At 33.8% G+C, this 24,937-nt stretch overlaps 1 protein-coding gene across 2 annotated transcripts in view; it reads right to left on the bottom strand.

Annotated features, from left to right (window-relative positions):
- The window catches only part of DIAPH2 (diaphanous related formin 2), a 920,156-nt gene that overhangs the window by 677,052 nt on the left and 218,167 nt on the right, over positions 1–24,937 (bottom strand). For both annotated transcript variants that reach the window (NM_006729.5, NM_007309.4), the window contains exons 6-9: positions 15,544–15,618; positions 15,394–15,463; positions 11,372–11,508; positions 9,329–9,437 (exon numbers count right to left, since the gene is read on the bottom strand). In NM_006729.5, coding sequence (NP_006720.1) covers positions 9,329–9,437; positions 11,372–11,508; positions 15,394–15,463; positions 15,544–15,618 — 391 coding nt within the window. The remainder of the gene's footprint in view (positions 1–9,328; positions 9,438–11,371; positions 11,509–15,393; positions 15,464–15,543; positions 15,619–24,937) is intronic.

Below are 24,937 nucleotides of genomic sequence, written 5' to 3'. Positions count from 1 at the left end.
CAATAATATAAACAATATGTTGTCTAGTACACATAGTGACTATCATAATATATAATGTAATGCAGAAAAAAAGCAAAAGTAGAAAATGGTTCTTGGAGTGGGTTAAATTCCACTTCATGTACATCCTGAGCAGTAAAGTATAAATGGCATCCCATCATCCAAAATAATGGTCTACCACTCCTCTCCTTTACTTCTGCCACCCCACTCCACACTCAGCATGTATATGCATGTGAACACATGCATACACGCACACACACGCTCTACAGTACTGTGCTATTCTATATGGGAGCTACTTATCACAGTTTAATTTAATTACAATTAAATAAAATTAAAAATTCAGTTGCTCAGTTTCACTAGCCATTGTTCCAGTGTTCAACAGCCACATGTGGCTAGTAGCTACCACATTGGATAGCAGGGATATAGAACATGGGAGAAAGTTTGATTGAATAGCACTACACTGGAGATTTTAAAGAAAAAAAGAGATCTGGCCTAATCTCTGAAACCTTCACTTCAAAGAACTACAAAACTCATTGCTGAATAATGAAAATTTCAAAATTCATATGCTCAACTTCCAAGTATATAAATCTTTAAGAGATGAGTGTACTCTATTGTCCTCTAACAATGCAAAATCAATCTGCTTTCCAAAAAAAAAAAAAAAAAAAATTCAACTCCAGAGACAGAAAATAATCATGAGATTTTAAAGCTAGACAGAACATAAAATACTCTGGTCCAATATGCTATTTAAAAGTAAAGAAACTGAAAACCTAGAAAGATTGGATGATTTGCCCAAGATCACATAACTAATAAGCCCCAATGATACAACTAGAACTCAGCTCTCTTGACCTTTAGCCTTGCATTTTTTCTACCACATTATATCGCACAAATCTTGCTTGATATCATTTCTCCTGATCTTAGAAAGAAAACAAATGCCCTTGAATTGAATATCACAAAGTCCATTATCCAGAGTTGCTCTGTTGCTTAGTGTCTTTATAATGGCTATGTTTCAAAATGGTCCGCCATATCTATTGTTACAAATACAGCTTCCATGAGGATCAAAATTTTAAAGTCACAAAAAATCAGTGAATTTTCTCCATTATTAATACATATGCTAGGGCCACAATTCTGATGTTTAATTAGTAAATACAATTGGTTTCTATATTTGCATTTTCATTCAGTGATGTCATAAGATTTCAACATGAGATGCATATATATCCTATTAAATGAATACATAAGCATACATAGTTAAAAACTACCAGTTCTGTGCATGTGATAAAGTATCCAATCATTTATGTCATGTATAATTATATACTACACTGAATCATTATCAGTTTTCTACCACATTAAGATCCTTCCTTTACTATAACAATTTATTTTATTTCTACAATAATCATCTACATTCTTTAGTCACCAGATGCTGTTGTCTTCATTCTGGGGTGGTATGGTATAAAGGGTGAAATATTATAAAACAGATGATAAACTTTCAAAAGGCAAAGCTCATCTGTATATGCCTAGGGTTTATTTGTAACACTTAACTGTCCCAAATAAAATAATTAAAATATAGTAAGTGAATGACATTTAAAAATTTCCAATTTTATTGGCATAAGACATAGCATTACAAAAAGAAATTTAAGTTTTTTTGTTGTTGTTGTTTACCTAAGTGACAGAGAAAGGGAAATATTTGAACACAAATATCTTCATAAAATTACTGGAAAAATGCTAGAACCTTTTACTGACTTTAACTTACAGGCTTGAAAACTATACAAACATCTATCTATTTAATCACAATTCACAGAGCTATGGGGTACAATAATTGACAACTCCAGGGCATTCTCAGACAGATTATCCATATTGCCATTATCTGTGACAAATTGTACATTTAAAATTTTATTGACACTGTTCCACACTTGACCTTATTAAGTACTCTGTTGACATTAACAAGGTCTTTCTTTATCCTAGCCCAGCAGGAGTTAGGAACAAAGATGATTTAAGTCAAAGTATGAGAGAAGAAAGATGTGAATGTACAGAGCGAGTTAATTGAGAAGTGGAGTACTTTCCAAGCCAACGGAAGTCATGTACAAAGGTATGAAGGTAGAGGTATAAAACAGCATAAAATCTATAGGAAACAAAGCACAATATGACTAGACTAAAAACATATGTAGAAGGGTGGTGGAATATGAGGCGAAAGAGAAAGCAACAGCCAGATGAAGTATTTTGTTTGGGCTAGGACTAGACTGCAATTCTGGAGACTGTGGGAAGCCATTGTTGGACTTTAAGCAGTGAACTATGGGAAGCCAATGCTGGACTTTAAGCATTCTGAAGTGCATTTCTGAGAAAAGCATTTCAGAAAGACAACATTGGGGAAGATAATTTAAACGGGGCCATAATGAAGAATAGAACATAGGGAAAGGATAAAACAGTGAGATGTAACAATGCTCTGAAATTAAAAATGGCAGTGAGGGTGGAGAGAGAAGGATACCATGTCGAGGAAGGGAAATATAACATTAAGGATATAGAATTGATAGGATCTGGTGACTAATGGAATGGAAGATGGAGTAAGGGTAGATTCTAAGATGACTAGTATGTTTCTGCTATATGCTAATTGGTAGGTAATACTAAGGTCAACCAGGATTGGGAATACAAGAGAAATGCAGGTCAAGGCTGGAGAGAGGATTAGAGTAGGGAGAAGGATTTTTTTTAAAAGGAAGATAAGTATATTTAAGGACAATATTGAATTTGAAATCTAGTCAGGAGGCAGCTGAACATATGGGGTCTGTGAGTTGGGAGGAAGAGAAGAGATCAGATAAAGACATCACATATGAGTGGTAGTTAATTGAAGCTGTGAGGATAGATGCGATTGCCCAAGGATCATCAATATGAGAAAAGCAAAGTACCAAAGGACTGAGGATCAAGCTCTAGGAATCTGCAAATTTAAGGGTCAAGCATAGAAATAAGAGAATTTAAATGAAACATAGGTGAAGGAAAAACAAGGAGAGCTTATGATATGGTTTGGATTTGTATCCCCACTCAAATCTCATGTCAAACTGTAATCCTCAGTGTTGGAGGAGGGGCATGATGGGAGGTGACTGGATCATGGGGGCGGTCTTCCCCCTTGCTATTCTTGTGATACTCAGTGAGTTCTCATAAGATCTGGTTGTTTACAAGTGTGCAGCACCTTCCCCTTCTCTCTCTTCCTCCTGCTTCCCCTTCGCCTCCCACTACAATTGTACGTTTCCTGAGGCCTCCCCAGTCATGCTTCCTGTACAGCCTGTGGAACTGTGAGTCAATTAAACCTCTTTTCTTTATAAATTACCCAGCCTTAGGTAGCTCTTTATAGCAATGTGAGAATGGACTAATACAGTTTAGTATCATGGAAGTCAAGGGAGGAGGGAGCTTTGATAAAGGAGTGATCAATAGTGCCAAATAGTGCTGAGGAAGCTAATATAATGACTTCAAAAGCAGCCTGTTCCTTTTTATATCATGGAGGTCACTGGCAACCCTCTATTACTGAAAATGATAGGTTTGACAATTATTCAGTGTTGAAACAGATTTAAAATAAAGGCATCCTTCTTTAAGTCAGAAGTTAGTTTTGTGTCAATACCAAAAATGACTACATTGTACAAATATCTCTAAACAACCTCCCATTATAGTAATCTATTTTCTAAATGACAATAATATAAAACTGTCAATAAATAGAACAAGTTTCCTAAGTAATATCAAGCAGTCATTCAACACTTTATAAATGCTAATTTCCACAAATTTTCTCCATATTCATAAGCCTCGATGCCTTGTTTTCTTATAAATGCACTTTCACTGACAAATGATTAATACTTTGTCCAAAGCTACTCCCTCATATGTGATGGTCTGAGTACATTAATGGCTAATTTACAAGTATGCTTGCAGTAAAATCTCAACACTCAAGAACCACTGTGGAAAGAATCAAGCCACATAGGATAGTTCCATATATCTGTTTATCTATTTAAGTATCAACATCTTGTTTCACATGGGACACTCTCTGAAATGAATTATATAATTCCCACATTCTTACGCAAAATAAACTAGATATAATTTAACAATTTCCTGTTGAGTCAGGGTCATCACTAAATATGTGAGTTAGTGAGGTATGGTGTAACTCAGTATCTCGGGAGGTACTGAAGTGTGCAGGGCTACTAGCCTCTGCGCTCTGTGAAGTCTATTGTTATCATTTGCATTCCAGTTTCAGTCTTTTATTACATTTCTATCTACCCCTCCCCTGCTGCCAGCTTATCAGTTGTCACTTCTTGATGATTCCAGTGTACGATTCTGGAATAAACTCTCTCCCAACCTTCCAACCTGCACTTCTAGTCTGCTGTGGATGTAAAACAGATAATTGGGTTCGTAAAGATAACATATGAAAAGAGAATAAATAGGCTCTCATTAAAGGCCAAAAAGTCGTTCTCACCATGAGGCTTACTTGATAGATCTGGTGACATTTGTAGGCTGCTCAGATTGTTTTATTTAATTTTTGTTTTATTTTTTAGTTCTCAGTTGTATTCCAAAGGACAAATCTATTAAATAGGCGAGGACTGGGTAAGTGAAGCTATCACACATCAGGAAAGGGCATATTTACAGCTCTGTTTTTGTGTACCATATCTAATTACAAAATGTGCAGAGTTCATTATTATTTTCAGCATCTTAGAAAACAGTTTTTAAATGTATTAAATTATGCTACTCCACTTCTTTGTATATATTGAAATATTGTAAAAACATGGCACCTTTCAAACTAACAGCAGCCTGTGAAGACTGGGGCTGTTTTGATAGTACATCATTGTATTTTAACTATACTACTTTCCCGTTCTATAAACCATTATTCATGCTCAGTATACCTTAGGTTTTCCTACCTGGCTATCTAGAAAGCAGTTTCAACTGGATGCTGGTATTACCTCACTGTTTTTTATGAAGTGACTGCCAGACTATTCTGGCCTCTATTTTACCTCCTGGAAGCCCTTTTCACCTCTCATCCTACCATAGTACTGCTTCTCTATCAGCAAAGATAATTTATGAAAAATGCTTACTTGTCCTTCGAGGCCTAGTTAAAATATCACCTCATTACTGAAGCCTTCCCAGACTTATGCAAGACACAGAAGAAACAGATATAGGTGGGGAAATACAGGTATTTCAGGCAAAGTGTTCCGCATGATAAAATGTTTGAGAGCATTTAAAAGTCTACAGCATATCTGGGAAACACCAAATGTAGTATGGCGCAAACATATGGTACATTTGGGAGAATGACAGGCTCAAAGGCCAGAATATTAAGTTAGGACCACAATGAAAAAGTTAGCAATGGGTCATGAGCATAGATTTTTAAGAATGATAATGTATTAGAATTGGACTCATTTTTTACAGATAACTGACAATAGTGTAGGGTATTGTCTGGAGAGAAAACATGTCAGTATGGGTACTAATTAGGAAATTGTTGAAATAATATTGGTGGGAGAAGATAAAGGCAGTGGAAGTAGAATGGGTTAGATTCACAGTCAATACTATACTTTGTAATAAGACTTGATGATGAATGCAGGGGACAAAAAAGAAAGAAGTGTTGAGGAAAATTAAAGATTGGGTAGAAGATGATACCTCTATAACCGAAAATAGGAAACACAGGAAGAAGAGAAGACTTAGGAAAAATCAGGTTAACAGAAAGAGATATAAGCTAAGTTTTAATATAAAAGGAGTTACAGCTTAGTAGTTAAAGCACGTTATCTATAGCCAGACTCCCTGGTGTATAATCTGTGCTTTCCCTTCTATTCACACTGTGACCCTAGGGAAGTTATTTAACCTTTATGAGCCTCAGTTTAATTATCTATAAAATGGGGATAATACTTCTATCTCTCTCAATCAATTGCTGCGAGGTTTAAATGGGATAACATATTAAAGTATTTTAAACACTGTCCGGCATATGGGTTGTAAATGTTATTTTTAATTTCTTAATTTTATGATACCAGTCACTGAGCTGGATGTATAAATCTGAAGAATCACTACCACAGTTGGATTGTAAAACTAGATAAGCAATTCAGAACATTCATGGACAAAATTGTTTAAAAAAGTATGTGTCTGTATGTATATACATGTACATGTAGATACGTGTATGTGCATATGAATGTATGTACATAAAATGATACTAAAAGAGGACCACGGATAGAACATAGGGAACAAAATACCCAGGAAGTAAGAGGAGGAGAAATACATTAGGAAGACAGAAAAAAAAAAAAAAACCATAAAGGTAGAGAACAAAGGAGAGAATGGTGCCTAGAAAGTCAAGGGAAGTAAAATTTTCAAGGAAGAAGGTGATCAACAGTGCCAAGTGATCAAGATTGGAAAGAGGCCATTGGATTTTGAAATTAGTCACTCACTGTAAATCTTTTTGAGAACTGTAATAGAGTTGTAAAAGGTAATTTAGAAAACATAGAAAACAAATATGGATTATTCTAGAGGCATGGACTTTAAAATGAAAAAGAGAGACAAGAGGCTAGTTAGAAGGTTAAGTCAGATCAAAAGAAGCTGCTGGTGTATAATCTGTGCTTTGCAAAAGAGACCGGAGAATGCTACTAAGCTGAAGGAAAGTCAATGAAGAGAGAGTGTATGAAGATATGCGATTTATCTTCCACCTATTTCTTGAACTCCTGAAGATAATGAAAATCCTATCATAGGTACAAAATTTCACTTTAAAAGCTAGGAAAAAAAATCTGTGAGAAGTTAATAACCTTTTTTAAAACCCCAAAAAGGGGGGAAAATGTATATAGTTGTTATTTAAAAAATAATTAGTCCTGTATTTTAACAAAATTACTTCCCGAGACTGTAATAACATTTTGGGAAGTCTCAGGATACTACAGAAATAGAAAAGTCATTCTGTTAAAATACAACACTAATTATATTTTTTAAACAACAGATTTAAACTTTTGGGTTTTTGTTTCTGTATTCTGCATGTATTTTTGAACTTTTAGAGGACATCTTTTCATTCACATTAAATAGTCTAAATAAACAAACTCACTTCACAATTCTTGTGAGAGTACTAGTTTTTGTATATAACAAATTACTAATTTTGTAGCTCATTAAAATGTGAAATTTTAAATTGTGGTCTGCATATGTTTGCATCTATAATCAGTATTCAACAATTTATTGAATACTTAACAAGACATCTATGATTCTTCCATATGTTACTTGTTAACAATTTGTCACTTTATCATTCCATTCTGTCCAGCTTCCTGAAGGCTAGCAAATGTCTTTCCCATCTCATTGTTTGGGGTGAACTACTCATTGGCAGAGGCATCCCTTCAAAGTATAGGCAATGCCGTATTCAAATTCTGGCATCACAAAGACATGGGTTCAAATTACAGCTCTATCCCTTACACAGCTGGGTGATTTTGGAGTGCCTTCCACCAATTCAATTCCCTGATCAGTAAACCAGAGGTAATAATACATAACTCACAGAGTTGTAGCTAAAAATTTATTTAAAGAAGATTTTAAAAATATATCAATGTAATGAAAACTTTGAATATAAATAAAAGAGTTCATTCCTACTCAACAAACTTTCGAAGAGAAGTACAAACATACACATATATCTGAAAAACCAGTGAAATTTAGTTAGGTAAGCCCAACCACAGGAACATGAACAAAACTTTCAAAGTCATCTAAAAAAGGCAGTTTTCAACCTTTCAGTAGAGGTATAAAATTTTATCAAGATTAAATTTTATAAGAAACAATGTATTATTAAAAAACACTGGGAAAAAATATACTAATCTTTAAAATATGTAATATAATCCCAGCACTTTGGGAGGCCAAAGTGGGCGGATGACCTGAGGTCAGAAGTTCAAAACTAGCCTGGCCAACATGGCAAAACCCCATCTCTACTAAAAATAAAAAAATTAGCCAGGCTTGGTGGTGCATGCCTGTAATCCCAGCTACTTGGGAGGCTGAGGCAGGGAGAATTGCTTTGGGAGGCAGAGGTTGCCGCAAGCTGAGATCACGTCCATCGCACTCCAGCCTGAGCAACAGAGTGAGACTCCATCTTAATAAATAAATAAATAAATAAATAAATAAATAAATAATACATTTGACATAAAAGTACACCATAAAAGTTGATCCAAAATTTTCAATATAGTTGGAGTAGAAGTCATGATTAACAAAGATCCTTCAACATTTGGAGAGGTATTACAATTTTGTAACATTACAGATTCTCTTTAGACAAGCCAATTCATCTATCTGATGCCGTTTCAAACTCTGGCAAACAAAAATACAAATACTTCATAATACATAAAATACATAATACAAAAAATACTTCATAATACATAAAAAATTAATTGTGTTTGTTTCACATCAAGCAAGAAATTTGAAGAGTTAAACATTCGATGCTAAGTAGCTTGATAAAATTAAATGTGGAAACTACCTTCTCTTTGTTGAACAACAATATGAGAACTAAAAAAAAATTCAGAGAATTTTCCATGGTACATTAAATGGTATGCATTGTCTAAAAGAGAGATTAGCAGAGACCAAAAACCTGGAATCAAATTCCGACTGTGACACTTAAAAACTGTGTCACGTTAGACCAGTTATTTAATCTCATTCAACTTATTCGTCCCATAAGCAAAACAAAGATACTATAGCAATACCTTCATATCTAGGTTGTTGTGAGAATTAAATCAAATAATATATGCAAATTAAAATGTTTAGTGCAGGACTTCATACCATAAGTTCAGCCAATAAATATGCATTCTCATCCCTCAAGAACAGAGCTATTCATAAAATGGATCATTTCCTGAAACCATCTAGGTAAAGATAGTGAGTTTTGTCATTTTCTAAAGGAGGCATTTAGTAAGTTGTGTCTACACAGGGCTATCAAATTAACGCTAACCTAAGAATTGCAATTCAATCCCTTCTATTCTGGTGAGTCACACCTTTGAATATTGTCTGAATGGCACAAAGAGAGATGTGTTTAATTGTCTTACATTTCTACAAGCCCACCGACTTCACTAACACTTGTTAGGATAATGGCATTGGCTGAACTGCTTGCCCTTTTACCTTAGTTACTGCTGAGGCTTCAATTTCCCTGGTTTATTACATTAATTACTAAATTCTTGTCTAAATATCAATGACAGCCATAACTGCCACATTTATAATAATTCAAAAGTATTTTTCCTAATTTTAAACAAATTGCAATTCTCACAAACTAGCAACAGAAAAAATTTTAGTTTTACATTCCATACTACTTAAATGCCAGCTAAAATGGAGTTGATGTCATACAAAATGAGTACTCTAAATATAACTCTAGAAGCAATTTAAGACAAAACTAACTCACCTGTAATTGCAAGGCTTCCTGATTTTCTAAACCTTCCACAATTGGTGAAAATCGTTCCCTGTTATTTCTTTCTGCTGCTGTTGTTATAGCCCCTAAAAGTTTATCTAGACTGTAGAGAAAAAAGAAGAAACAGAAATGAGAAATACTTCTTATACAGACACTATGAGCACCGGTCCTTTCAGTATTCCCTGTTTTCTTTCTGGTATTTGATGTTTATATATACCATTAGAATTTTTAAAAATTATCATTTGCTTTTTTGATGGAAATTGTATGTTTTCAAATATGTATACATACTGGAATGGCTAAATCAAGCTAATTAACATATATTGCCTCGCCTACTTACATTTTTTTGTGGTACGAACAATTAAAGTCTACATACACTCTTAGGAAATTTCGAGTATACAACACACTGTTATTAACTACAGTCACTATCACATAAAATAGATTTCTTGAACTGATTCCTCCAGTCTAACTGAAAGACCATTACAATATAGGAATTGTGTTCCTGTCCGTATATTTCTTTAAGGCAAATATTGATAGCTCTAAATAATTTTAGGGCATCAAAAGGAAAATTCGATTTTAAAAATCTTAAGGAAAGTAACTTTTCTGGGTGACATTAAAAAAAGAATACTTAAGTGATAAACATTAAAATTTAAATTTTCAGGTTTTGATATTTCATGTGTTAACATTAATATCACTTAAACATAATATGACACCTATAATTGTTAACAGTTTATTGGAGCATAAACAGATTGTAATTTTATAATAAAGTTCTGGAAAGAGTGATTATTTTTTAAAGAATTTTTTTAATCAACATTTTTTGACAATGGAAAAAGAAAAAAGACTCTAAAAAGGAAAGCCCAGGTGATTAAAGAAGAATGTATAATTATCTAGCACAAGAAACTTATTAACCTGACCAAAAATATTGGTATCTCCACACAATGCCTAAAACAAATTAATCTCTATATAGTATACTACTCTTATCAAATTATATCTGAAATTATAATTAAATCATAACAGTTATACTGGACTACATTGTATTTTATGAATATTGAAAATCTAAGTGATTAAAAAATATTTCTTACACATGTATAAACTGACTTTTAAAAAATAAAATCCTAAGGATCCTTGCTTTTACATATGTTATCTCATTCTCAGTTTGTTATCATTGAGGTGAGACTTAATATGATAATATTTTTGTTTAGTGTTTGTCTTTTGGTTTCTGAGGACAGTAGCTAACACTAAGCAACATCTCATTTTACTCTAACAGTTATGAGAAAGTCAACATATTCCAACATCCTTAAATCTTTGCATAGTCCTGTTCTGACTCAAATTGACATTATTACTGTCACGCAAAGTGTTCCAAGGAAATATTTTGGTTCGGGTCCTTAGCAGATATTTGATTCTTTATCACAAGGGTTCATTACAAACTAGACTTATTAATGTCATCAAATCTGAAAGTTTGCTTCTGATTCAATATTATTTCCATAAGAAGATGTGATCAAATGCATGTTCAGCAACAACTTGCTGCATTTGGTGGCACATATACACTTTGAATAATTATCAACAACCGTTTTTTTCTAACAGGTGGGTTTATTTCACTTTACAAATAATTTTCATTTACCATGGCATATAAAGTAAAATACTATTATAAGATAATGTAAAATAAAGGCATCTATTCAAATTGTGTGATATGCAGCACAGTATTTGTGTATGTATGTGTGTGTATTTGCCAAAATAACTCTCTGATTTTTGTCCACTTTCTAATGATTGCTGTACCTCCAGCAAAACAAAATTCTGCTCAATCACTTTGAATCCAACTTTCAAGAATTTCCCACTAGGATTTTATCTGTTTAAACTGAGTTTCTATAATGTCAACAAAGAAGCCAAAATATAAACAGGCAAGATAAAAATTTCAATCAAAAATTATCTAAAATACTGTTTTCATGAAAGTTATCCAAAGAAAGAGAACAAAAGTAGGACTTATTAATTTCTTAAGTGTCATTTTCCATGCAGCAAATATAATAATATAGCAATACTTACATGTTCTCTTCTCCAACAATGCAAATAGCAGAAAGTATTTTTACTATTTCAGTCATCATGTTGGGTTGTTTGGGGTCAATTGCTCTTGCCAATAGTAAAAGACTTCTTTCATCTCCTAGAATCCTTTGTAATCCAAACTAAAAAAAAAAAAAAAAAACCTTCATTCAGAATGTCTATGGAATATATCTTTAATTTAAAAAAGCAACGTACAATGATCTTCCAAAAACCCATACCCCCACAATGAGGTTCTACCTAATTATATGAATATTCTTCAAATGCAGTTATCTGTCTTTGTTTTTTATATGAAATCACTGCATCTTGGAGTTGTTGCTCCTTGATCAGATATATCTCCATTAGCCTGCCCTAAAAATTCCATAAATTTGGAGAAATATGGGAACAATCAGTATTTCTTCAACAAAGAATAACATATAAAGCGCATACTGATATGATTTTCTAAAGTAAGATTCTACTTATGTCACTGGGTCTCCCTGGAGATGTCTGGAATTCGTGGTTAAATTGTCCAATATGTTTGTATGAAAAATTAAGGTGAAGAAAAAGAGAAATTTTTTTTAAAAGGCTCTTTTGAATACTATATGCCAGTATAAGCCTCAGTATGGATATTCCCATGCCTTCTCTCTCTTATCCTCCCTGATTCAGACAGCTGTGCTGCACTACAAAAGCTGTGAACCTAAAGAAATGGCACCTGGGTTTTATTAAGTGTCACAAGTCAACTAAGGAGAGAAAACACCATTTTCATTTATTTTCTAAGCATGAATATGTGTGTGCATGCGTGTGCATGCACGCACTTAATAAATAAGTAAAGAAATTCTAATGAAAGTCTAAAACTTGAGTTTTCATTACATTAAGAAAGCAATATATTATTTTATCTTTGTCCCACAAAGTATTTTTCAGATTTCTTATAAAATATTTTTGCTTCATTTTACAGTCTAATGGTGAAATTGGATATTTCATCGGAGCAAAATTTCCATTTCAGCTAAACTTCAGTTAATTACCAACCATATGAATAGTTCCATCAGCCCTAATTTAATTTCTAAAAGAACTCCGAGTGGCAGATGGGGAACATAGCTAAAGCTCTTAAATGTGAGTTTATCACAGGTCATAATAAATAGGAAAATATATGGAGATAAGACCAAAAAAAAAAAGAAAATGCAAGAAACAAGTCTTGAAAGAAGCAACAAAAACAAAATAGATAAGTATGTATAAAGGTGGCCAGTAGATGATTAAAAGTAATGAATATTAGTGAAAAACACATTTGCAAAACTGAGAGACAATGACCACGCAATTACCAAACTTAATAGCTTTATGAGTCATTGAGACTGAGAGTGAAATCATTAGGTTTTAAAAATTTTACTTAATGTTTATAAGTAGTTTTTAATATATAGAGACACATCAAAAATAAAAAAGAAGACATGAAAAATATATCTGGAAAATCATTAATCCAAACATCAGAGCAATATTATAGTACTGGAAGTTAAGAAACAATGGGTTGCTTTTTATGATCCTATTGTTACATGTATTGGATAAAAGAAAGGAGTTTTTGAAGTAGGTAATCTAAACTCCATGGGGCCAAAAAATTTGATGTGTAAGTCATTTTGGATAAAAGCTTAATTCCTTGATCTGGACAATTTATTCCAACATGAAGTGAAAAGATCACTGCATATTTTCTATTCTGAAGGCATATTTTATGCCTATTGTTTCACATGTCTATAATTCAAAAGATCCATTAATCCATGCTCTGAGCACCTATGTGCAAGACATTAACGTGGCCTAACTAAAAACATCAATTTCGAATAATCTAAGTCAAATCATTATGCTTTCCGAAACTGCCAAACTCTTAAGAAACTAAATGTTGACAAATCAAAGTATGTTCTGTTAAAAAAAAAAAGGGCTCTATAAGAATCTTACTATTATGACTCTCTCTAGTGACTGTCCTGATTAAAATTACTTAGCATCCTGAAAAGCCACGACAATTGACAACATGAGTCAATAAGAATTTAGAACAAAGTGTCCTATAGCTAAATTTACAGATGAGGGGACTGATACTCAGAGAGGTCAAGTAATTTTCCAAAGGCCACACAACTTATTAGGAACAAAGCATGAACTATATATATCTCCTGAATTCTAGAACTGTGTTATCTTTCCATTATGTCATTGTTTCCCTCAATTGACGAAAGAGATCTATCTTGAGCTGTGAAGAAGCAATGCTCATTATTTCCTTGTTGGGCATCAGATTCTGTTTAACTTTGTAGCCAAAGACTAAGAGCCCAGATTTTGAGAAAATCTGTACTAGTAGTGATGGGAATATTTCTGTAAGAAACTTCCAGAAACAGTACAACTAGCATATTCAGGAGTCTCATGTCCACTAGCAAGCATTCATTGCATATGCTCATACAGTAACATTCTTTGCTGATACATGTATGTATAATATATAAATACTTATATGTATTTCCATATGCTTGAGACTGTCTATAGATTAATATATAATCTTATTGCATTGGTTATTAATAGCCATATTTTACATTTGGCAAACTTCTACTTGTTGTTGTAATTATTTCTATTATCTATTTTGAGATTATTAAAATACTATGTAAAGGGAATTAGGTAATTAAGTGAATTAGTCAATAGTATTTTATCTATAGGTATGAAGAGGTCATTTCTAAGACAGTAAAAAAAATAGTTTATAGAAAAAATACTGTAACTTCATAACCTGAGTAAAGTCTATTTTTAGAAGAAAAATTATTGTCTAAAATTCACAGGGTCCCTTATAATACAACTAGTATTATACATATACATAAAAAGCCCTGCAATTTTTCAGAGATGTCTTATATGTATGTAAACTTGCTGACATTAATAAAACATAAAAGAAAGAGAAATCTCAATCTTACAATGTTCTTAGCAAATAAGTCAACCCATCCCTATAATTTTCCTTTTCAATAGAACAGAAATTCTCTGTGTGGAAACATATTCAACAAACGACATTTAAATTTTCCTACTACCATTAAAGAAAAAGCATTATTACCAAAATTGGGAACAACACTAATTCATTTGCATGATTTCAAAAACCCACCAATAAATATTTTGTGAAGCAAAGTATAACTTTCATGTAAGTATTACTTAAATATTATAAGGATTTACATCATAAAGACCCTTTTGTAAACTGAACAAGCACTCACTATTTTGTTCATTTCTTTCTTTTTGTTATGTTTTCTGAACATTTAGTATACTATAAAATCAAAAAGACCTCTGTTCACATGAAAGAAATTATTGGAGGAATAAACAGAATAAGAATCAGACACAGCATTTCTAAATTATAGACAAGAGTCAAATACACTTTTTCCAATCATTTTTTTTGTTTGTTTCATTGACTAGCTCACCCTCCTGAGGAAATTAGCAGCATAGACAATGGAAAGTACTGTTTTATCTATCTTCCCTATATGAAAGCAATATATTTGAATAGAAGAAACATTGGAATAGGGCTCCATTTTTTAAAAGATTTAGATCTACAGAAGTTATATCATCCCTGAAATCCTCTGGATGCTGTGAGGACTTCTTTGGTTAAAATGAAATATCAGCATAGAAATAAAAAAAAAAAAATCGAGAAAACTAACAATAGCTCACATTTTGGAAAATTAAACATCAAATTTATCTTTTATATATGGTTTCAAATGTGTATTTAACCTCACTGTAAAACTTTATAAACACTTATTATTTATAAGCCTGTAATAACTAGTCTACAATTAATTAGTACAGCAGAAACATAAGTAAAAAATAGGTACGGGGTGGGGAAGATGATGAGGGAAAAGAGTTAATGCATGCCGGGTTTATTATTTAGGTTGATGGGTCGATTTGTGCATCAAACCACCATGGCACATGTTCGCCTATATACATGTACCCTGGAAATTAAAAAAAATAATAAAAAAATATTTTGTTCATTTCATACTTTCATAGTGTTGGGCAAGTTCCCACCTTTTGTGACAGGGGCAGAAATAAATACTACTTACCTTATTATTCATAAATGCTTTGAGGCATTGAATAAGTTTATACTGATTCTTCTTGTCAATATTTTCTTGCCTAAATAAAAGAAAAATGTATATTATGTTGTGCTGAAACATTTTCCCTTTGGTGATTTTAATTTCAGTGTTTATTCTTACTGTTTTTTGTCCAGAAGCTTTTCCAGCTCATCCAATAAGAGTCCAAGACCTTCATGGCCAAAGTTGTTAACCCAGCTGAGAAATAAACAAAAAATTAGATGTATAAGTAAGTTAGTAATTTTAAAACATTAAATATCCAAAATAAAATTTTAATTTTCAAATCTGATAATTCTGTCTCAATATTGCTTGTCATTATTTTTTCAATTCCCACTGCTTCAAGTATTGACTCTATGAGGATGACTCAGTGATCTTTGCCTCAATCCTAGACTTCTCCACATTTTAGATTGCCCATTACACAGCACTGCCTTGGTTGTTTCACCAGCATGACATACTTAAGCATGAATTCACAAGCTGAATTCATCTTCCTCTGTCTCCATACCCCTAAGTCAACTTATCTTCCACTCTTTGATACTTTATTAATAACATCACTACCCTTTTAATTCTTCAGACTTGAAATACTGGCATAATTATTTGATGACCCATTTCTTTCACCTTTGCATTTATTCTATTTATTCAGTCAACAAATATTTGTCGAGTGTCTACAAAGTTCCAAGCATGTTCTAGGTGAGAGAGATACATAACAAGCAACAAAACTAAGCAACTAGCCTCATGGACTTTACTATCTAGAGATAGGGAGACAGTGAACAAATAACTAACTATATAATAAATGTAATAATTGCTTTGATGCAATGAAGAAAAATAAACCTTGGAAAATAGAATGAAAGGAGTGGCAGGCTGCTATTTTTCATTGTGTGATCAGGAAAGATTCTTTGATAAGGTTAGGTATTTCAGCAGAACTCTGAAAGTGAGGACTTTCCAAGTAGAAGGATTAAGGGCAAATTGGGTCATGAGGCATTAGCTAGTGTGTTTAGAATGTTCCAGGAACTGTGAGGAGACCCATGTGGCAGGAGCTGAGTACGCAGGTTTAGGAGATTGGCTGGACATAAATTCTCCTGTGTGGCAGAAGGCTGAAACACTGCTAATGTAGAGCATTATTCACAAATATTCTACTTCTACTTCTACTTCTACTTCTAGAATGCCTCCTCCAAATGGCCCCTTTCTTCCTTTCCAATGCCTCTGCTAACATTCTGGTTTAGTCCTAGTTATCTTTCCTTTAATAAGCCTGGAGACTCCCAATTGGTGATTCCCCAACTTCATTCTTTTCTCTTAATCATTTTATAAAATGACAGATTAAATTGCCCTCAACCAAAGTTTTCTGTCCAAAAATTTTCCCTGGACTACTTAATACATTTTAAATCATTTGGCTCAACATTCTGATGTAGCCTCAATCTACCTTTCCAGCCTCAGGCCTTAAGACACATGTGCCAATAAAATCAGACAAATTATCATTGCTGGAGCCCACCTTGCACTTCCTCATGTTAGCTCATTTATTCTTTCTTCCCAGAAAGTAACCTCAACTCCATTTCTCCCAACTATTTAAAACTAAAATTGGCTGTTTTAAGTCATTAATGTTTTCCCCTGTAATTCCTCCGATCAAATGAGTTCCTTTTCCTCAAAATCTCCATGTAATATTTATCTCTTACTGCTTGACATAATCATAATGATTCTTGCCATGTCTTACCTACCCCTTTGGCATGTAAATTCTCTAAAGATAGTTATATCATTTCATTAATATTTCTATGTTTCATAGTGTTTAGCAAGGTAGCTCATATATAGCCACTAAATATTTATATTAAATAGAGCCAACACTAAGTAAGTATTTGCTAATTTAAATTTAATTAAATTTACTGGCTGTATGGTTAATAGAATAAGCAATCTCATACTACCCAAGAACATCATAAACATAAATCAATATATAGACTTATGTGAAATAATAACATCTATGCTGTCTATATTTAAACCATTCCATTCCAGTCTTTATCCATTTCATAGCTACCTAAGGTAAATCTTATCAACAAAGCAGAGACCTAAATTTTTAAGGGAATATCAGAGACATCACACCACTGAAGAAAATATATTTTTAAAATAGCTCATATTCAGAACCAATCGCCATCCACAATATACATAGAAGCTCATTTTAAACAAATTCTGCTTTAATTTCCATAATGGAAACAAGAAAAAAAATCAATATGGCACTGTAATGATAATTGGCAACAAGCTACTATCCAATTGAGGCATGTAATCATCTAGTGCAACCAGCTATTTTCTCTAAAGCCTCGATAATCAGTGAGGTGGTGGTAGAGGGATAAAGGGACATCAGCTTTAAGTATAATATACTTAAATAATATGTAATATATAATTTATCACAGAGAAAAATCAGCAGATATCACTACAGCACACTGTACCCTGCAATAACCTTTACATAATAGGAATTCTGAACAAATTTATATATAGTCCTCAATATCCGCTTTGGTATTTGGGAAGATGAAATAATCCATGATTTCTTTAAATTTACCACAAATTGTTTCTAAAATTCTGAATTTTACTTATATTCTCTTTATGTCTACTGCTATTAAAATTATTAGGGTTATTTCTTTCTTGGTGTAGGGAAGCATGATTCACAAGAACATGATTCATATTTGTTCAATTGAAATCAGTCGCCCACACATCCCCTGTTTCAAATGATGCAGTTTATGGTACTTTGGTTTTATTCAGGGAAAATTACTATTTTTCTTAAAAAAAATAAGATACAATCATACAACTTAAGTGTGAGGAGGCAGGACCTATTATTACAAGCTAGACAGGGAAAAGTCTTAAATGAGAATATTTTAGGCCAATGGGCAGAGGAGGCCTAGTAAGAGTCTTTAAAACTTTTAAAGTAGAGAGAATGGGAGCCTGAAATGAGCCCGTTGCTAAGGGGATAAAATAATTACGAACGATGACGATGCGCAAGAGGTTAAAAGGAAGGAGGTGTGGCTAGACATAGCTTTGTTTCCTTTTTCTCTTGCCAGCACCACCATTTCTCTGCCTTTCAGACATCAAACACTTTGTGAACTCCAGCCAAGCACTTACTGTTTTACTGCTTCTCTTTCTCTCTTTCTCCTCCACCCCCCTCCCCCAGCCTCCCTTTCTCATATACATAGAGTATACTGATTTCAGCCAATACAAAAGTGGTCATGAAATGAGGAGGCAGTTTAAAAACAAAATGTTGGCTCCTGTATGTGAGCATGTGGGCAGAAATTCTGACATTGAAACACTAGAAGTAAGCATAAATCAAGGGTTCTCAAAGTGTGCACTCCAAATCAGCAGCATTGACATCATCTGGGAACTTGTTAGAAATCAAAATGCTTGTGCCCTACCTCAGACCTACTGAATCAGTAGCTGGGAGGAAGATAGAAGTGTATGTTTTAACTAATTCTCCTGGTGAATCTGATGCTTGCTCAAGTTTGAGAACCACTGGCAGGGAACAATGGATTGCTGAGAAGCAGGGGAAGCCTTTCTCAGGCAAGACTCAGGCTCAGAACTCAAGGCTGCTTTACATGCCCTCCCAACCATACTGTGCCCTCCCAGTGCCGCAGAACACAGATCAGGAATCCAGTTGAGGGCCGGGAGCGGTGGCTCACGCCTGTAATCCCAGCACTTTGGGAGGCCGAGGCGGGCGGATCACGAGGTCAGGAGATCGAGACCATCCTGGCTAACACGGTGAAACCCTGACTCTACTAAAAATACCAAAAATTAGCTGGGCGTGGTGGCGGGCGCCTGTAGTCCCAGCTGCTTGGAGAGGCTGAGGCAGGAGAATGGCGTGAACCCAGGAGACGGAGGTTGCAGTGAGCTGAAATCGCGCCACTGCACTCCAGCCTGGGCCACAGAGCAAGACTCGGTCTCAAAAAAAACAAACAAACAAAAAAAAGGAATCCAGTTGAAACAGATATATTTGGTATATTTCATGGAGTATGCAAATTCCAGCTCTGAATTATTTAGTACTAACTGGAACATCTAGAATGATAAGAATACAGTTGATGACCTGATTTAAAATCTTACTCAGAGATTACAGACAAAGACATAAATTTTTCTGTACTATCTCAGCCCTGAAATAAGAAACTGACATTTCTCATGGACCTTACATTTATGAGGGACATAGAACAGGCAGAGAATAATGAAGAACCAAACAGAAGGAAAAACGGAGGAAAATTACTCTTAATAATTTTCATAACCAACCCAAACATGAGTTATTTTTTCTTTCCTTTTTACTGAGGTATGATTTATATATAGTAAAATTTATCATTTTAACAAATGTATAGTCATGTAACCACCAATACAAATAAGATATAAAACGTTTTCATCACCCTAAAATATTCCCTTATTCCCCTTTGCAGTCAATCCCTTTTCCCTACTCCCAGCATCCTGGCAACTACTTATCTGATTTGGGTCCCTATAGTTTTGTGCTTGCCAGAATATAATTATAAAAGAATTGTACAGTTTTCAAATTTTGTGTTTGGCTTCTTTTACTTAGCATGAATACTATGATATTCAACCATTTCGTTGCATGTATTAGTATTCCATTCCTTGTTACTGTATGAATATACCACAATTTGTTTATCTATTAATTATTTGATGAGTATTTCAGTTGTCCCCAGGTTTTGATGATTATGAATAGAGCTGATACAAACATTGACATGTAAGTTATCTGTGTAAGCATGCTTTCATTTCTGTTAAAAAAATATCTAGGAGTGGAACAGCTGGGTCTTATGGTAAGTAGATGTTTAACGGTTTAAAAACTGCTTTCCAAAGTGGCTATTTGGCACTCCTTCAGCAAAATATCACAGTTCTAATTGCCCCAAATCCTTGTCAGTCTTTTTAAGTTTAGCCATTCTGAAAATTGTTTCTAGGTAAAGAAACTGAGAAGCAAAGTAGTTAAGTGACTTCCCAAACATCACTCAACAAGTAAGTAGCAGTTCTAGGCCTCAAATCCATATCTGACTCTTAAGCACATGCTTATTTCAACCACATCCTTAGAAATTACTAAAAGAGGACCGGTACACAATTTTCTATAACATCTAGCTAATAGCTCTAATACCTTGCTTAAGAAGAATTAGTGGTGTTACAGAACGGTTTATATCTACATATCTATGCCTAGACAGACAAACATACGTTTCATTATTTAACAGCTTAGTTCATTTATTTAGATAGGATAAGTAAAGTCCTGAGCATCATAAGAAATCTACAAAATACTGTTAAGGACAGATAACTGGAGACTTCAGCTAAAATTTTCAGTCAACATTTAGGTAAGGTAGTTTATCAGAAAGAATAGGGCCAAAATGTAGCTTATACTATTTCTTTTTGGATGGGCTATGTAAGTCCACGATCTCACTTTTTAAGGTATTAACATATTGGTGATTTTGTGTTATAAGTTACCTAAGTTAAAGAACTGTCTTAACATGCTACACATCCAAGTTGACATTTGTGGTCACATGTCAGGAGACCAAGTGGAACAAATGAACCACCCAAACAAAAACAATAGACCAGTCAGGAAGATTAATGTTTGAGTGAACCAGCAGCCAAGATTATATCTGGAGACTAAAAAGGAAGCCAGGAAGCTTATATTGGGAACAAGAGGTCTGAATCACAGTGAGACAGCATCTTCCAACCCTATGTAAAAAAGGTTTGGCTGTATCTATCAGGGAGGCTAATATCTGTTACGCTGCTCAAAAAGCTAAAAATTAAAGACTTTTTTCCAAGTTCACCCAAAAATAAAGAAAATATTCCATCATCCATCATTGGATTATGCTGTGGGGCCACATAGCTGCATGGCTAAATGCATAAGCTTTAGAGGAAAACAGATCTAGGTTCTAATCTCATCTCTACATATTCTAGTTGTGTTACTTTTGATAATATACGTAAATTTTCTAAGCTTGTTTTTGCATTTTCAAAATAGGGATGAGAATACTACCTATACCCCATGAAGTCTTTGTGACTATTAAATGAAATAATGTATATAAAACATCACAATAAAGCCATTAAGAAATTTTTGGAAAATGTTAAAAACCAAAAATCTGAATGTTGTTTGAATCTTCTAGTCCAAAATGCAGTATGAATTTTAGGCATAAATTAAAGAATCCTTTTCCACAGTATTAACACAACTTTTAATCACTTAATGAAAATTATATTAATTTTTACAAAACATGCAGATGACTAAAATTATACTAAACTTACTCTATTGACTTGTTTAAAAATAAGACTGGGGCACAGTGTCATGCCTGTCATCTCAGCTATTCGGGAGGCTGAAACAGGGGCATCATTTGAGCCCAAGAGTTTGAGGCCAGACTTTATAATTTAAATATTTGGTACTCATATTACCTCTTTTTTTTGTTTTTTGAGACGGAGTCTCGCTGCCTCCCAGGCTGGAGTGCAGTGGCACCATCTCGGCTGACTGCAAGCTCCGCCTCCCGGGTTCACCCCATTCTCCTGCCTCAGCCTCCCGAGTAGCTGGGACTACAGGCGCCTGCCGCCACACCCGGCTAATTTTTTGTATTTTTAGTGGAGATGGGGTTTCATCGTGTTAGCCAGGATGGTCTCGATCTCCTGACCTCATGATCCGCCTGCTTCGGCCTCCCAAAGCGCTGGGATTACAGGCGTGAGCCACCGCGCCCAGCCAACCTCATGTGTTTTAACTGGTCACTATCCAATTTTGTGTATACTTAATTCTAATTGTATTTAGTGCTGGCCAATTCACATCAGAATAGATATGGAAATTATAATGGTGAGGGGGAGAGAATTTTTAGTTCATGTATAATCCTGACAGAATTATATCAAAAATATATTGAAGTTTTAAAACAGAAACCTATCTCAAGCCTTTAGAACTTCTAAGGTCATTATTTTTAAAGGACCCACTTATACTGATCAGCATGATCAAAGGAAAGAAAATCTTACATTTAATGAAGGTATCAGAAGATTCAATTAACCCTAAATCTAAGAGAAAGCAAGATTCTCCCCTCTCTAGCTCTTCAGGGCAAAGCAAAACGAGGAAAATTTTCTATAAATGTACCTATTGAAGGAGGGAATAAGACTGTGCTCCCTCATAGATTCTTATAAAGGACAACATTTCACAGTTTCCCAAAACCTCAACCTTTCTCCCATAAATTTGAGATTCAGACTCTGAATTATTTAGTTACATTTCACTTAAATATAATGTAAAACCAAAGATGTAATGAACAGATGAGTTCAGTATGCTATATACAATGAAGATATAATAGAAAATAGTGACTGCATGTCCATCAATGATTAGATTATCCAAATTAACATCTCTTTCAAAAGAGTTAAAGCTAAAATTAGAAACTTCTATACTGAATCCCATAAGCTGTAAAGGCAATTGGTCTCATGTGAAGGAGTCCAATATTAGTCATGTCATCCCTTTATCACTGTTTGTGCAGTGCTAAAGGCTAGTATAGAGGGTTATGTGTTCTGTACAAAGGATTTTATTTCCCTCTAATGGTGTTCTATTCCCATGTGTAATCTCAAACTACAACCTGAATCACTGGAACATCAAATAAAATGAATGATAGTTCAGGGTTTCTTGGGGGAATTCAGAAATTTGGTAAAATTATAACATGTGAAACAACTAATTCAAAAGGTTGAGGAGACTTTAAATGTTATCTTGAGTGGTGGGTTTTGGTTTGTTTTTTTTAAAATAGGAAAACATCTCACTTAAACACCAATATTGCTACTGTAATGTTTTTTAATGCAACTAAAACCAAATTTTAGTTGCATACACTTAAGGAAAGAAAGAGTTCCATGTGATTAAAACCAGTATGTAGCCCAACATAAACAGTATCACATATTCAGTCCATGGATCAAATCTGCATAAACAGTAACCAAGTAAACCTTAGTATTTTCCGCATCTTAAAAGGAAAATTTGTTCGGCTAAATAAACATCATAAACAGTTTCACTGTCAATATATATACCCACTAAAAAATATATAAACATGTATAATATATACGTGGATTTGTGTACACTACAACTGACTTGGTCTTAGATCCATAAAAACATATACGTCCACTCAGGTTTCTCTACATGAAAGCAAACACAATAGCTTTGGGCATTTGAATGTCCTTGGAAACTATTCATCATAGTAGATTAATCCATGAGATATCTCTGACCAATTATAAAATATCTATTTGACGTAACACTACCATTTTCAGACATTTGTGCATAAACCTTCGAAGCCTGACAGTCACTGATCATTTATTTCATGTGACTCATAGAAAGTTTGAATGCATCAGTTTACCAGTTCTACCTCTGAGTGGTTTTGACTTCAATGTTGTGATAGATTACAATTGCCTTAGAAACACCAAAGAAGACATTCCATCTTTCTCTCTGGCTGCGTTTATTCTATCAGTCTTACTGCAAAAATCCTACTATGTTTCATGCCTCTCATCCATTTTTAGGAGTTCCTTACAAAGTAGGAAATGTGCATTCTTTCTAGCTGTTTATATTGCATAAAGACAAATTCCTCTTACATATTTACAAAATAATTTTAAATGCTCTAGTTACATATAAAAATCTCTTGAGGGCAACAGTATAAGTAAACACTCTCTAAAAGGATAAAAGTTCCTTATTTATTAAAATCAATTTCATAAGCTGTCTAAGTTACTTTGGAGATAGTCTAAGAAATGGCTTATGCCCAAATCTATCTGAATGCCTAACAGGCTAACAATCAAGAATATTTTCCTCCCCACCTTCCTTTAAACATTATTGGTAGAAAAGTATAAGAGAAGGTCTTGTTCCAAAGTAATGATGAGGAAAAAATTACCAAAAAATTTGAATGACAATGAAAATAGACTCTTCAATCTACGGTCAATAAGGGAAGCGAAGGGAAAGAGTATTCCAAATATTCAAGTAAAAGCTACTCACATTTTCTATCTTCTTCAGATGTTTGAAATAGTAGATATAATTATGTTAGGACACTTATTAAAGATGCCTTCTTAGTAACATAACCAGTCAAACTTATAATAAAATGTTAACTTCCACAAGAAAAATGTATTGGTTTATTTTCCTAAGATAAGTAATATAGTTAAAATTCTATCATGCACACCACAGGATGTCCAATTTCATTTAGTTTTGTGGAATTTTGTTAAAGTAAACGTATTCCAAAAAATCACATTCCCAATCCATAAGCCCTGCAAATGAAACAGAGCTCATACCAAGTTTATGTCATGAATAAAGTAAGAAGTTATTTGAATGCAATGAAGAAACATAGAGGCATTAGCATATACCACCTGTACATATTCTTTTCTCCTAAACCAGTTTGTATGTTATACTATCTGATTCTAGTGGGCAGCAGAGAAATTGGTGAATTTTTTTTTTTTTTCACAGTAACAGGGGTAAGGAGAGTTGAAGGGTAATTGCTATTTGATGAGTGAACAACAGAAATGCAACAGTCCTTCTCACCTACCAGGTGCAGTGCCAAAAACATATAATTAAAGACTTATTACA

This window comes from Homo sapiens, chromosome X (genome assembly GCF_000001405.40).
Source record: "Homo sapiens chromosome X, GRCh38.p14 Primary Assembly".
NCBI lineage: Eukaryota > Metazoa > Chordata > Mammalia > Primates > Hominidae > Homo > Homo sapiens.
Note: the sequence above shows the minus strand (reverse complement) of the source record. Positions and strands in the feature narration are given on the sequence as shown.